Genomic DNA, 15,632 nt, shown 5'->3' with positions numbered 1-15,632 from the left:
AACTATCATCAGAGTGAACAGGCAACCTACAGAATGGGAGAAAATTTTTACAATCTATCCATCTGACAAAGGGCTAACATCCAGAATCAACAAGGAACTTAAACAAATTTACAAGAAAAAAATAACCCCATCAAAAAGTGGGCAAAGGATATAAACAGACACTTCTCAAAAGAAGACATTTATGTGTCCAACAGACAGAATACAAAGCTCATCATCACTGGTCATTAGAGAAATGCAAATCAAAACCACAATGAGATACCATCTCATGCCAGTTAGAATGGCGATCACTAAAAAGTCAGGCAACAATAGATGCTGGAGAGGATGTGGAGAAACAGGAATGCTTTTACACTGTTGGTAGGAGTGTAAATTAGTTCAACTATTGTGGAGGACAGTGTGGCGATTCCTCAAGGATCTAGAACCAGAAATACCATTTGACCCAGCAATCCCATCACTGGGTATAACCCAAAGGATTACAAATTATTCTACTATAAAGACACATGCACACGTATGTTTATTGCAGCACTATTCACAATAGCAAAGACTTGGAACCAACCCAAATGCCCATCAATGATAGACTGGATAAAGAAAATGTGGCACATATACTACACAGCCATAAAAAGAGATGAGTTCATGTCCTTTACAGGGACATGGATGAAGCTGGAAACGATCATTCTCAGCAAACTAACACAGGAACAGAAAACCAAACACCGCATGTTCTCATTCATAAGTGGGAGTTGAACAATGAGAACACACGGACACAGGGAGGGAAACAACACACACCGGGCCCTGTCGGGGGATGAGGGGCTAGGGGAGGGATAGCATTAGGACAAATACCTAATGTAGATGATGGGTTGATGAGTGCAGCAAACCACCATGGCACATGTATACCTATGTAACAAATCTGCACATTCTGCACATGTATCCCAGAACTTAAAGTATGATTTAAAAAAAAAAATTGGGAGAATGTCCTGGATTATTGGGGGCCCCAATGTAGTCACAAAGCTCCTTTAAAGTGAAAGAAGAGCCAGGCATAAGGTTCACACCAGTAGTCCTAGGTACTCAGGAGGCTGAGGCAGGAGGATTGCTTGAGTTCAAGAGTTCAAGACCAACCTGGGCAACATAGCAAGACCCCATCTCTAAAAATAAAAATAAGGTGAAAGAGGGAGGGAGGCAAAAGGATGAGCGTCAGGGAGATGGTACAATGGAAGAAGGGCCATAAAGATGCAACCTCACTGGCTTCGAAGATGGGGAAGGAGCCATGAGCCAAGGAGAGTGGGTGGCCTCTAGATACTAGAAGAAGCAAGGAAATGAGCTTTCCCAGGAGCCCCCAGAAAGGAATGTAGCCCTGTGACACCTTGGTTTTAGCTCAGTGAGACCCATCAGACTGGGACCTGACTCAGCCACCCTACACCTCTGCCCACCCACAGTTGGAGACAGACTGTGGACAGAGTGGCTGGTGACCAGTGAGCAAGGCCTCTGAGTGCAGGAGCACCTGTGCCCACCGCCCACTCCAGTCCTCAGCACCGATGGAAAGGCTTCTATTTCATGGCTTGTTATTGCTGTTGTTCAAAGGAACGGCAGTAGCATTAAAGAAATGAATGGAAGAATGAATTATTAATGGTTGCAAGGGAAATTTGTAACTCAGTATGCTATCCTCAACTTCGTCTCTTACACCAAGGCACTGACTTTATTACAAAGCCAATCAGGCCATGAGGCACACGTGGCCACATTGGATGTGGTCAATTACCGAGGTGAGGGAAACTAAATTGTTGGTAGTTTCTTGCTGAAGCACTTGGCGCAGTCATGCTCTGTGACTTTCTCCCTTGGCTTCAGAGCGCACCTGGCTTCCTTTTGTTATCAAGGCTTGTGGCTGCTGTGAAAAATGCTGAAGGGAATGTAAATAAATTACTGCCTGGTCTAGTTTCTTCTCAAAGATTAGAACTAGAAAAATCGATGCAACGGTCATTTATCCCATCGGTGAGCCAACTCTTCTGTCTTTGGGCACCCAGAAGGTCAAATACAGCCTATACAGCCACTCACATCTGTGTACTCCTGTGCATTCACACGCATACACATGCACACACACCTGTCTCAGGGTACCCACACTTGGTACACACCCTCAGGCACACACACTCACATACACATACAGTGAGTCCGCTCTGCCATTTTGTCTCAGACGTGCCGGGGGTGGGTTTTTCTCCTCTGGGCTTTTCCCTTTGAATGAAGCATTCTCATACCCCAGCTCTGGGGAAATAATCTTCAGATTAGTTTGTCTGCCTGCCAGGAACACCAGACTGTGCTCAGTAAAGAACAGTACATCATTTCAGGAAATGCTGGGGGTCTTGGGTGCTCTGAAGCCCCAGGGAATCCACTATTGCAGTGCTCTGGGGCCCTCATCGCTGATGCCTGCAGCTGTCAGGGAAAGGGTGTATGTGTGTCCCTCCTCAACTTCCCACTTGAAAGCTGGGTCTCCACGAGCAAATTGCTTAACTGCTCTGGGCCTCAGTTTCCCCATTTGTAGGTTCTAGGTAATAATAGTACTCCCCCTCGATGTGGTAGTTAGAACGAATTCAGATCATGAATGTGTCTTGTTTAATAGAGTGCCCAGCAGGTGCTCTATAAATGTTGAATGCTGTGGTGGCTGTTATTCCTAGTTCCACCCTCATCTATCTCCCAACTGTTGAGGAACACACACACACACACACACACACACACACACACACACACACACTCCTATCTTAAACAGGTAGTGCTCAAAATCTGGCCTTGCATTTGGGTGGCTCTTTTCTCCATGGTTTTCAAAGCACCTTGATATCTGTTTCCTCCTTTAAGCCTCATAAAACCTTGTGGAGTGGGAAGACTGGAATTATTGGTCCCATTTTAAAATTTTTATAGATTTAGGGGCCATTTTTAGAAAGAAGGAAACAGGTGCACAAAGTCACAAGATATGCCTGTAAAGATTCATTGTGGTGTACTTTTAATACACACACACCCAGAAACTAAGCGCCCAGGAGTTGAGGAGGGGAGGTGAAGATGGTGCTTTGCGACATGTGATCATCTGCAGTCATTAAGAAATCACATTTACAAGTTTTTAACGACCCAGGGAGATGCCCCAACTGTAACAACAAGTGAAGAGAGGAGGATACCGAGCTGGATGTTTGGGAAGAGCCACACAACACAACCGGGGAAAGGAAATAGCCCAAGGCACTAACAGCCAGCCCCAAGGGAGACTGTACTTGCCTGATTTGTTTCCTTTACACTTTTGTTTTCTTCCAAAGTTTTCATGATGGGACTGTATTATTTTTATAACTAAATAAGAGAAATAAGCTTTCTGTGGAGTCCTAATTAGGGAAAGGGAGTCAGGCTGTTGGGACCAGGGGAAAGCAAAAGGAGAAAGCAGATGAGCTACAAGTCTGCCTTTCTTCATGGTCCAGGACACAGCCCTCCTGCACAAATAAGTCACCATCTTCCTGCGCCCAGCTGTCACCAGACATCTGCAGGTGAGCTCACTGCAAGCTTGGTGTCGTGGTGCTGCGCACAGCCCTCTTCAGCACACAGCATCTGCACCGTCCTATAAAATCTCCAGCCGGCCTTTGTTTCTTTGCAGTCGGCTTCTGTCATGCAGGCTGCCCTCCTTGCAATGTATTTTTCTACTTTCTCCAATAAACCTGCCTTTCTTTACCTACAACTGTCTTGGTAAACTATTTTACCCCCGCACCACTGGGCCAGAGAGTTGTCAGTTCCCTGCAACACTTTTGTGTTACAATAACTTCCCTAAGTATATATACAGCTTGGCTGGCAGCAGAGGCAGAGTCCAAGTTCATTGGCAATGAAAGGGCTGTTGGTGCTTCCCACCTCCTCCCTGCCACCACGGCTGCCTTTGGCACCAACACCCCAGGGAAAGGATGAATTACCAATTATTGTACTTTCAAGACCTCCTGCCAAGCCGTGTATCTAGACTTGACACTGATACCCACTCTGTCAGTGTTGCCCTCTGAGACAGAAGAGAAGGCATTCTGGTCTCTTTCACCAGGAAATTCTGATTCACAGGTGATATTACACCAGTAAGAAGTAATGATGATAACAGGCAGCATTTACTGAGCATCTACTATGGGCCAGGCCCTTCCAATGTACTCTCTTACTTTATTCTCTTGACCACCCTGTAATAAACGGATTATCCTACTTAATAGAAGAGAAAATGAAGGCTTGGGAAGGGGAAATTACTCATCAAGGTGACCCCACTGGTCACAAACAGAGTTAGGACATACAAGCAGGCCTGTCTCACCCAGGGCCCATGTTCTCCACCTGCCATGGGCTGGTGAGTAGAGCAGGGGGTGGTGGGGCAGGGGGTGGCATGCCCAGGAACCAGCACCAATGCCAGACCCCACTGATTGCTCCCTGAGTGTACTCTGGGGAGAGTGATCCTCGGATACCTGCTCAGGCTACTGCTGCCTCAGCAGGGCTTTTGCTATTGGGAGGAAATAAGCGATGACTTCATGACAGCAATTAACTCCTTCAAGATCTGAAGACGTCAGGGTGGCTGCCCTGTGCCTTCCCTTCCTCCTAGGGCTGGGGTGAGAATGCCTGAGACTCAGAGAGGGGAAAGGAAGGCTCCAGGTCACACAACTTCACAGGGTGCGGTGGGGGTCACAGCTCCCGGCACTCAGACCAGTACTGTCTGTGTTGACTCTGATGCAGAAATGAGCTCAAGCTCAATCACCTGTCCATTGATTCAGTAAGTCTTTGTTGAGCACCTGCTGAGTTCCAGGCACTGTTTTTGTTGTTGTTGTTGTTGTTGTTGTTGTTGTTGTTGTTGTTGTTGTTGTTGTTGTTTGAGACGGAGTCTCGCTCTGTCGCCCAGGCTGGAGTGCAGTGGCGCAATCTCAGCTCACTGCAAGTTCCACCTGCAGGGTTCATGCCATTCTCCTGCCTCAGCCTCCCGAGTAGCTGGGACTACAGGTGCCCACCACCAAGCCCGGCTAATTTTTTGTATTTTTAGTAGAGATGGGGTTTCACTGTATTAGCCAGGATGGTCTCAATCTCCTGACCTCATGATCCGCCCGCCTCAGCCTCCCAAAGTGCTGGGATTACAGGGGTGAATGAGCAGCACCTGCAAGATCCCTGCCCTCTTGGGATTCGCTTTCCAGAAGAGTGAGACAGGTGACAAGTAAACAATAGTCAGGAAATATCATTTCAGGCTGTTAAGTTCGATAACGAAAAGGAAACAAAATTGCACCTGTGATTAGCAGACTCTTGGCCCCCTAATGGGATTAGGTCTGCATCCTGATCCCCAGAGCATGCGAATATATAACATAACTGAGCAAAGGGGAATTAAGGTCTCAAATGGAATTAGAGTTGCCGATCAGCTGACCTTAGGATAGGGAGAGTAACCTGGATTATCCAAGTGGGCCCAGTGTTGTCACCGGGTCCTTAAAAGTGGAAGATGAAAGCATAAAAGAGTTAGAGGGAGATGTAAGGAAGGAAGAATTGTCATGGAGACCCAACATTGCTGGCTTTGAAGATGGAGGAAGGGGCCATGAGCCAAGAAATGCAGGTGGCTTCTAGGCACTAGAAAAGACAAAAAATGTTTCTTCTGGAGTCTCCAGAAAGGAATGCAAGCCTGCCAGCACCGTGATTCCAACCCAGTGAGACCCATATCAAGCTCCTGCCCTCCAGAGTGGTTAGCTTCACAGCTGTGTTATGAAGCTGCTGGTCTGTGTTTGTTTGTTACTGCAGCTCCTCAAAGCACCCCTCCTCAGAGAGGCCTTCCCTGACCACCTGCTGAGGAAAGTTCTCCTGGAATCACTTTCATGGGTTCTTTCACAGAATGTCTCAATTTTAAATGATTTGCTTGTGAAGGAGTTCCGAAGTAACTCCCCAAAATATGCCACTTTGAGACTTTGAACTGAGGTCACTTGGGGAACAGCAACTGCAGGGAGGGGCTTTCCGAGTTTTCCTTTTCTGTCTAAAGACAGATTGTCCAGAGCAAACGCAGTGGCCATGAATCTCCGCCCAGGGAATCTCATCAGCCGGAAGGACTGGCTCGTTTCACAGGAGTCTAAAGGTCCACACTACGTCCAGATAGCCTTTGTCACAGGCTGTCGTCACCTGTCCTGCTGAGGGCCCACTCCTCTTCCCCAGAAATCATTTACTCTCCACTACGGTGCTGACACCCCACCCCTCTCTCCCTTGTGAAGAGGGTATACAAGCTTCTAAATCTTACTGGGTGTGGGGAATTCCTTTTCTTTCCTGGGATGCCCCCATGCATGTGATAAATGTCTGTACCTTTTCTCCTGTTATTCTCCCTGCTGTCAGTTTAATTCCTGACCAGCCAAGGCAGCTAGAAGGGTAGAGAAAGCCATTTTTACTCCCCTACACTTGTGTGCTTATTTATATTGGAAGTGAGGGTCAGGAGGGCCCCCCTGAGGAAGTGACACTGCAGGTCAGGTCTGAACAAGACCCAGGCACCAGTTATGGGCAGAACCGTCCTAGCAGAATAAGGGAGAGCAAGAGGCAAGGAGATGGGACAGAGGACAGGACCAGTCCTAAAGCCAGTCAGAGTGAAGGAAAGCACTGCCTCGCCCTGGGATACATCCTGAGGGGGCCCACGTGCCTACCTGGGGATGGGCAGCTGGAACAGCAGAACTGGGGCCACTCCCGGCACCTCATCACACAGGGTCCGCTCCCTGCTCTTCCCTTGCACCAGCTCCCTGGGCATGCATCTTCATTTCCTGACCAGCTGCTGGACCTCATGCCCCTGAATATTCCTTCCAAGTGGGCCACACAGCCTACGGAAGCATTCAGAGTCAGCAAACAAGGGAGGAAGTTGCCAGGAGCCTGTGTGCCAAGGACCGAGGCAAGAACTCCTCCTAAGAGGAAAGCGCTTGGGAAAGAGACCATGATTTGTGACAAAGACTGGGAGTGCTGGATCAGGGGAGGGGGAAGCTGAGCCCCTCTCAGTGCACCTTGGGTCCTAAGGAGAGAGAAGGGAGACAAAGGCTGCATTCACCATTTCACTAAAAGTCTGCCACTGAGCAGCCCTTCTTTTCTTTCTCCGTCTTTCCCTTTCTCCACACCCCACCCCCTCCACCTTTAACCTCTAATTCAATATGCCCCACCCAAATCCAGAATCTTTTCCCAAACCACTTCCTCTCCCCCATCTTCCTCACTCTTGACCAAGAAGCCTCCCTTTTCCATCATCCAAGCTCAATATCTTGCAGTTGCCTTTGACCTCCTCCATCTTTCCTGTCCTGAGTTTCTTGCCTGGGTTCCCCTCTTTCCAGTCAGCCCCTCCAGCACCCCCCCACACTCTAGTCCAGAACCTCAAAGCAGGTGATCATCAGCTGCAGTTACTCGCTCTACCAGCCCCACACCTCCCAGCGCCTGGGGAGGTTGTTAGCACAGGGTCGGGTTTTTTGTAAGGTTTTTTGGCTGTTTTCGAAGGCAGATTGTGGTATCTCATTCCTGATTAAGTTGCTTGAATTCCCACCCAAACCTCCCTTGCCAAGGTCAGGATAGCTCTACAGGAAGGGAACAGGCATGGCCCTTCTCCCCAGGCCCCAGCCAGGCCCTAAGCCACTCCTCAGCCAGGCAAGACTTTAGACTCATTTCCTGCCCCGTGAGCACTTAGAATAAACTTCCTCCTTCCTTGTGAGATTGTTTAACAGGGCAGGGAGAGTTGATGGCAAACTTCCTCAAAGGAGGGGCAGAGCCTGCGCAGGGCAGGAGCAGCTGGCCCACTGGCGGCCCGCAACACTCCGTCTCACCCTCTGGGCCCACTGCATCTAGAGGAGGGCCGTCTGTGAGGCCACTACCCCTCCAGCAACTGGGAGGTGGGACTGTCAGAAGCTGGCCCAGGGTGGTGGTCAGCTGGGTCAGGGACCTACGGCACCTGCTGGACCACCTCGCCTTCTCCATCGAAGCAGGGAAGTGGGAGCCTCGAGCCCTCGGGTACGTCCCCCCAAGAATGGAAAGGGCTATGGTTCCAGGTACACATGATTGACAGAGGGGAAAATGGAGGTGGGGAGGGTGGGAAATAGGAGTGAAAGAGCCTGAGACAGAATGATGAAAGGAAAGAAAGAAGGAAACCACATAATCGAAGAGATTCCTGAGATCAGACTCAGGAAGGCAAATAGATTTCATCTGAGGCACCAGGCCTGATCAATGAAATTAGACTGTGATAAAAAGGATTCTGGGGCTGGGTTCGGGCTCAGGCAAAAGCATGCTATGATTGATTAGCTATGTCTGCCATGGGCACAAGAAGGAGCTGTAGGGCATGCCAGCTAGGGATTTGATAACCCACACTGCAGGGTTTTTTCCTTAACCACAGGGGCCCCTCAACATTTATTCTTTCATTCACTCATCTATTGATTCAAAAAAACACATTCCAATGATCAACAGTGAGCCACACAAATATTTGAAAAATGAATAAAAAAGAAAGGAATGTTGTTCTTTGGCCCCAAATCTCATTTTTCTCATAAGGTAATGATCTGAAAAGTTATGACAAAGGTGCATGGACTTGAGAGATTTTCTAGCTATGTAATATTGAGCTAGTCCCTTTCACTAAGACTCAGTTTCCTCATCTGTAAAATGGGAGAGAGAGTCTGAATATCCCCCATCAATCGCTGAAGTTCTCATTGTCTACGCAACTATGATAATCATCACTGAAGTACATAAAATAACATGTATGATGTGCTAAGTGCTCTCCATATAATAACACATTTAATCTTCCTATCACCTCTACAAGGAAAGCACCATGATTATTCCCACTCTGCAGACGGAGAGCCAAGGCAGTGAGAGATTTAATAACTTCCCCAGGCAATCTGGCTGCAAAGCTTTTGCTCCTGCCCACTATGCCACACTGACTCTACACTGCAGTGGATTCTGAGTCCATGGCTGGAAGTGGGCTGCCTGGGTACAAGAGTGTCCTTCTAGATGATTCATCCAGTGAGCATTAATTGGGTCAGGTAAAAAAGACACAATGATTAACAAGATGAGGTATCATACATGGTTCTAACCAGAAAGGGAAAACTTGCACAGATAGTCATTTTCAAAACAGTTTGACATACACCATGGAGATAGCCTGGGAGTCAGGGCAGACTTCTCCCAAGAGAATGCCGGGTCCTTCAGGAGTGAAGGGCAGGGGAGGAAAAGATTGGGTCAGTGGAGAATCTCTGAGAAGGGGGAACAGGAGGAAAGAAAGAGGAGGGCAGAGCAGCTCAAGCAGGAAAGGGGTAGTAGCTGGTGGTGGAAGGTGAAGTCAGTGAGGTTGTTGCGCCCAGGTCTGCACAGGCTAGGGAGGAGTTTGCCATTGCTCAGCATCTGCCCAAATCTGTGCATCTGCCTGTCTGCCCTTGGGCACCTGGAGGTTTAGGGGCTTCTGTCTTATGGCCATGGTGTGCACACCTCTTCCTGAGCTCAACTCCATCTTTACACACAGACCCTGCTGCTTCCCATAGGAATGTTGAAGCCTCCAGAACCCAGGGGCCTAACTTCCTCATTGGCACTTCCCTGCGGTGGGGGATGCTCGAAGTCATCATTTGCCAACATTTCCTGGTGCTGGGGCAGCTGCTCCCCCTTGGAGGAGACCTACCTGTCTACTACTGGCAGTCCTGGTGAGACTTCAAGTGGGCAGCCGACAAGCCTGCCTGGGGGACTGGCAGCCCCCACCCAGCCTGCAGTCCCAGAGGGCAGGTGCCCTGGAGCGGAGCAGACATTTCCTACAGTTGGTGCCAATCCCTTGCTTCTGGAGGCTCAGAGGTTTGCTCCCCCAAGGGTGTGGCCTGGGGAGACAAAGACATAGAGGTTGTGGGGAGAGCAACCCTGCCTTTGGCATTTGAATCCCAGTTCTGCCCTTTTTCCAACCATGTGACCTTAGGCAAGTTGCCTATCTTATTGGCTTGTCTGACCCTCCCTTATCTCAAAAGAATGAGGACGGTAATAAGTTCTTTGGGATTTGACAGTGTGCATTTTGAAAAAGACAATGTGTGCAAAGCATCTACCATGATGCTTGCCACGTAGTAGGTGCACAATATAGGACAGTGCTGTTGTCCAAGCTGTGCACCTTCTATGCACCAGGCAGTCTGCATGGAACTGGGCATTCAGAAATGATTAGACACTGTCTCAGGAAGTTCACAGCCTATCAGATAAATTAGTCACATCAATGATTGAGAGTAAAAGGAGTCAGGGACTGCACTGTACAAGAGATGTGAACAAGTTCTACGTAATCAGTACAAACAGCAGTCCCAAAACTGGGCAACGCATATGGAGGGTTGACTGTGTCTATAGAATGGTGCCAAGTACTGTACATGGATTAGCTGGTTTAAATACAATAACTTTGCATGGGAGGTCTTATCATCCCCATTTTGCAGTGAACTACTGAGGCCTAAGGAGGTGAGGTAACCTGCCCAAGGTGGCAAGGCTATGAACGGTAGAGAGAAGCTTTATGGCCAGGCAGTCCAGCTCCAGGATCCATGCTGTTGGCCACCACACTCCTCTCCCTCCGACATGCACACACATCGCAGAGGGAATGATCTAGGCCTGCACAGGCTGCAGAAGGGGGACCTCACAAAGGAGGCCACATTCCACAAAGTATGGAATTCCTCTGGCGAGGACAGGTGAGGGCAGCCCTGGTGGAGAAATCCCTGTGAGCAGAGGCATGGAGCTGGGAGCTGGGAGCTGGGAGTCACCCAGCAGGGCCGGGGAGAGGCTGGGAGCCAGGCACAAAACCAAGGCCTTGGACCTTTCTGCAGGTACAACTGGTTCTGTGTTGGAGGAATGTTCTGGTGAAAATGACAGGAGCAGTGTGGCTTCTGGTATGGAAGCCATCAGGAAGGAGGCTGTTGCTGAAGACACAGAGAAAAAGCCAAGAGTTGGCCCGATTCTTTAGGTCCCATGAGGACTGAAGTGTTCAAACCTCAGGAGGGAAGGGGTAGGGTGGGAGTGTAATCCGAGTCTTTCTTGCAGATGTAACTGTAGTTTGAAATGGGAAAATCATGTATCAGGTAGGACTTTTCTGGGTGCAAGTGACAGAAACCAGCTCAAACCAGCCCAACAAGTAAAGGACAGGTATTGACATACACAACAGAAAAGTCCAGAGATAATTCTGACTTCAAGAAGGCAGATCTGGGGGCTCACATGACACCCCCGGCACTCTGTGTCCATCTCTGGGAGCCTTTTCTCCATGTTGTTCTATGCTCAGACAGCCTGTGTTCATGTGGTGGCAAAGATATACATAACATCTCCAGTTCAGAGTCATCTCAACTTAGCCACTCCAGCAGAAAGGCAGCTCCTCTCTCCTGGAAAGTCCTTCAAAAGTGGTAGGAGGAGACCAGGCATGGTGGCCCAGGCCTGTAATCCCAGCACTTCAGGAGGCCAAGGCAGGTGGATCACTTGAGGTCAGGAGTTTGAGACCAGCCTGGCCAACATGTTGAAAGCTTGTCTCTACTAAAAATACAATAATTAGCTGGGCATGGGGGCGGATGCCTGTAGTCCCAGCTACTGGGGAGGCTGAGGCAGGAGAATCGCTTGAACTCGGGAGGCGGAGGTTGCAGTGAGCTGAGATCGCCACTGCACTCCAGCCTGGGCAACAGAGCAAGATTCCATTTCAAAAACAAACAAAAAGTGCTAGGAAGGCTCTGGTCTTCTTGGCTTGGGCCACCAGCCCGTGTCTGACCCCATCTCTGCAACCCAGAGATAGATCATACTCATCTGCTAAGCCAGGACCACAGAGTCACCCCTGGAGCCAGAGAAGGGAGTAACCCCCACCAACTGCCTCGGAGGGAGGGGTTGATTCCCAAAGGAAAATTAGGGTGGTCAGCAGAAGAAGGGGGAACAGATGTCCACCACCCCAACTCCAACTGCCCCTACTTTATTACACTACTGTTAGCAAAGTCACAGATGGCATACCACATAAGTCATTCTACTTATGTGACTCTGGACCAGCCACTTACTCTCTCTAAAGCTCTTTCCTCACTGGTAAATGCAGTTAAGAAAAAGAATCTGCCAATAAGATTGTTGGGAAAATTAAATGAAAAGACACAGGGCTTAATATTGGCAGAATACTAATAATACCTATTAGAATTATTATTGTGATTGTTATTAAGATTATTACTTCTTCAGTGAGATCTCCTGATCCCGTGCCTTCCTAGGCAAGACTTATCTCTTAATGGCTTCCCAAGCCACCATCGACTTTGTTGTGGAGGCCACCACGTTGGTTAATTAAAGAGGTCAAGACCCAGCTGTCTCAGACGGAAATGAATAAATTACCCACTGGGCGGGAGGTGAATCTCTTCATGCTTCATGCTTGGCCTGCTGAAGTGATTCCAATAGGCCAGCAGCAGGCCTGCAGGGGCCAGGGGGTGAACCCAGATACTCCACCCAGCCCCACCCTGATCCAGTTTGTCCTCTCTGGGGAAAACACACCCAGCTCTCAGCAAAGAGAAATTCTGGGGCACAAACTGGCCTCTGGGGCTAATGGACCTGCAGATGTCCAGTATCCTGAGATTTCCCCCATCCCCTCAGACACTGGAGGGCAGGGAAGGGGCTGAATGTCTGTCCAGATGGCTTCCTCTCTCTCCAGCTGCTCTGCTGGGACCTGGAGGAACCCATTTTCCATGTGGAGCACACCCTGTTCTTCAGCCTATTTCTGCCTCCTTGAGAAGGGGGATGGAGGGTGCGAGGAGCATCTCCAAGGGAGAGGGCAAGAAAGCCTGCTTGATTAACAACTGTTACTTGCAGAGCACTTCCTCTGTGCCAGGTGTTGGGTTTTGGGTGCATTCTTGCCTTTAATCTTCACTAAATTAGAGATCGTGATGGCCATGTGAAAGGAAGCTGAGGCCGAGAGAGGACTGTGTCCACGCTCCCATGACAGGACCTAGATGGGCACCAAAGCCCCCACTCTTAGCCACCACGTTATACAGACTCCCAATTCCCAGGCCACACGAGGCCTCTGCAAAGTCGAAGGGTGCAAATATGACTGGAGCTGCCACTTACTGAGGGTGACCTGGGTGCCAGGTACTGAGCGTGGCACCTTCAGAGGATGATCTGTCAGGTGAATGGGAGGAAAGTCTCCCTAAAACCTATCTGAGGAGAGGAGAGAGGTGGCTGACCCCTGCCAAGAAAGCAGAGCTCATGGAGCCACCCCCCGAGGAGGGTACTGGCTGGTGAGAGACATGGGGGTGGGAGAACAGAATCTTAGAAACTCACTCTTATCCCATGGGAGGCTCCCTTCTCCCTCACCTTGGCTGAGCCAAAGACAGGCAGGCTGAAGCTCAGCAAAAGGAACACCCGAGGCTCGGGTCTACCTAGAGCTAAAAGAGGCCACACCCAGGGCACAGGTGGGCAAACAACAGCCCGCAGGTCAAATGCAGCGGCCACATGTTTTTATAAATAAAGTTTTATTGGAACACAGTTACATGTATTCATTTATATATTGTCTGTGGCTGCTTTCCTCCTACAAAGGCAGAGTTGAGTAGTTGTAACAGAACATACGGCCTGCCAAGCCCAAAATATTTACTATGTGATCCTTTACAACTTGTGCTTGAGTTGGGCAAAGTGGTTAAGAATGTGTGGTCTCCTGACACATATCGCCTGGGTTTATTTCTGGGATCTTTTCTATCTTTGACTCTTGCCAGCTATGTGACTTGACCGCCGTGCCTCAGTTTCCCTTACTTCTTCATTGAGCTGTTGTAAGATTAAACAAGTTAAAATAAGTCAGAGTCTCAGGGTAGTATCTGGCATGTGGCGTTTGTTGTCTTATTCTGGGAAGTACCCTAGGAACTTGAGGAGTAAAAACCCTAAAAATCCTGCACATTTTCGTGTCTTCTTGCATTTCCCGCCATGCAGCTCTGACTGGCCCAATAATTCTACCATTGGCCAGAGCTGGAGAAAACCATTAACACCAATAAATAAAATTAAAACAGGGCATAATGGGAATAATGGGCTTCTTTCCTTCCAAAATAAATGTCACTGGAACAAATTGTTCAAACCACTAGTCTTATTGTTTATGGATTTATTCGCTGTTTATCTCCCCGTCTGTATTGGCGACATGATCAATAATTGCCCATAAATATTGGGCGTTTATAAGAAGGACCATTTAGAGGATGAAAGGGGGCCTCTGGTTACTTTGATTCCTTCACACAGGCCTGGGTCACAATTGCGGGTGTTCAGGATGGCTTTTGGGGGTGATGGGAGACTCATAGCAAGGGGCAACTGGGTCTAGGCAGGGTTGCACACCCCCTGCTTCAGGGCAGGACCCATGGCAGTGCCCTGACTCACGTGCATGCATGCCTACATGTGTGCCTGTGTGTCTGTTAATATGCCAGCCACTTCCAGTCTCTGAGTGTCTCTGTTTCTTTTTCATTCTCTTTGTCTCTCTACCTCAGTCTTGTCTCTTTCTTTTGAAGTCTGTCTCCCTCAGCCCTGTCACTATCTCTGTAGAGTTTCCATCTCCCGCACTCATGCACACAGAATTCACCCCCTGCTATGAAGCCTTGCCCAAGCAGCATTGCTGGTAGAGACAAGTGGAGCAGAAAGGAGCCTGAAGAGGAAGAACTGATGGAACCCCTCTGCCTCTGGTGACCACACTCTGTCTGCAGAATTTCCCGGGATAATGAGGAAAAGAGCTGGACTTGGATTTCCAGAAGAGACTAGTTAGGTCCTAGAGTCTGAGCATGTCTTCTGGGCAGACTTCTACTTCGGAGAAAAATGTTAGTAATGAGGTGAAAAAAAAAGAAGTCATTTAGATGGAGGGAGCAGCTCCTAGCTTTTTACCTCCCAGTTTCCTTTCCCAAACGGAAACCCACTTCCTTCCTTCCAACAACATTTACTGCACACCTACTGTGTGCCTCGGTGCTAGCATCCGGCCGCGGACGAAGAAAGCCTTTGAGAGCCACTCCCTGGAGGGGAAGCTGGCCTGAAAATCAGGGCTGACTGTGAAGGCTGACAAGGTGCTTTCACGGAGAGATTCACAGAATGCCGGGCCAGGAGCCAGGATTTAAGCAGGGAAAATAGTCACTTCTTTCTCCACCAGGGTGCACTGCTCCACCTTCTCAGCCTGGAGAGACAGCATCTCTTTCTCTGTCCATCTTGGCTCTGGGACAGGTCATGGTTGAGATTAAAGGCCCTGTGTACAGAAGGCCGCAGGCAACAGGAAGTGCTGACATCCCGGCTCCTGTAGGGCCTTTAAGAAATGTCACAGACCGGCAGGCAGAAAGGAGCTGTGATGGCATTTTGGGTCTGCAGAAAGAGCAAACATCCGTATAGGAATCGTGCCCTGGAGGTGCACTAGCGAGAGGCAGCAGAGTGAAGGGGGCCTGTCAACAGGGAAGAGATGAGTGGACCCTGCCAGGACGGCGGACCCCTTCCAGACAGGTGGCCTCACTGCCCAACATCCCTTCCAGGACAGGTAGATAGCATCACCTTCTTTTCACAAAGGAAGAAATCAAAGCCTGGAGAGATGTGCGGAAAAACACACAACTAGTAAGTGGCAAACCCAGGTCTGTCTGATCCACAAATTCGTTCTCTTCTCCCAGTATCACAGGTTTTCGCTGCCTGATGCTTTTAAGACCAAGATCACATGCATTGCCCCAGCTGCTCTGCCCCTGTATTTGCATCTGCTGGCAGGACACGTC

General features: G+C 49.1%; 1 protein-coding gene and 1 long non-coding RNA gene across 11 annotated transcripts in view; one reads left to right on the top strand and one right to left on the bottom strand.

The window, feature by feature from the left end:
* Window positions 1–9,893, bottom strand: part of LOC105377109 (uncharacterized) — a 41,452-nt gene extending 31,559 nt beyond the window's left edge. Inside the window, exons 1-2 of the long non-coding RNA XR_940879.3 lie at window positions 9,593–9,893; window positions 6,618–6,973 (exon numbers count right to left, since the gene is read on the bottom strand). This is a non-coding gene — a long non-coding RNA (uncharacterized LOC105377109). The remainder of the gene's footprint in view (window positions 1–6,617; window positions 6,974–9,592) is intronic.
* The window catches only part of FAM3D (FAM3 metabolism regulating signaling molecule D), a 32,829-nt gene continuing 24,948 nt past the window's right edge, over window positions 7,752–15,632 (top strand). For 6 of the 10 annotated variants that reach the window (XM_006712967.4, XM_011533352.3, XM_005264863.5 and 3 more), the window contains exon 1: window positions 7,752–7,950. The gene's annotated coding sequence lies outside the window, so the exon portion shown is untranslated. Of the gene's footprint in view, window positions 7,989–15,632 lie in introns of all 10 variants that reach the window. The other 4 variants (XM_047447435.1, XM_047447433.1, XM_011533351.3 and 1 more) reach the window with 1 other exon arrangement.

The sequence above is a fragment of the Homo sapiens genome, chromosome 3 (assembly GCF_000001405.40).
Source record: "Homo sapiens chromosome 3, GRCh38.p14 Primary Assembly".
NCBI classification, from domain to species: Eukaryota; Metazoa; Chordata; class Mammalia; order Primates; family Hominidae; genus Homo; species Homo sapiens.
The sequence above is the reverse complement of the archived record's forward strand: the minus strand, read 5'-3'. Positions and strand labels throughout refer to the sequence as shown.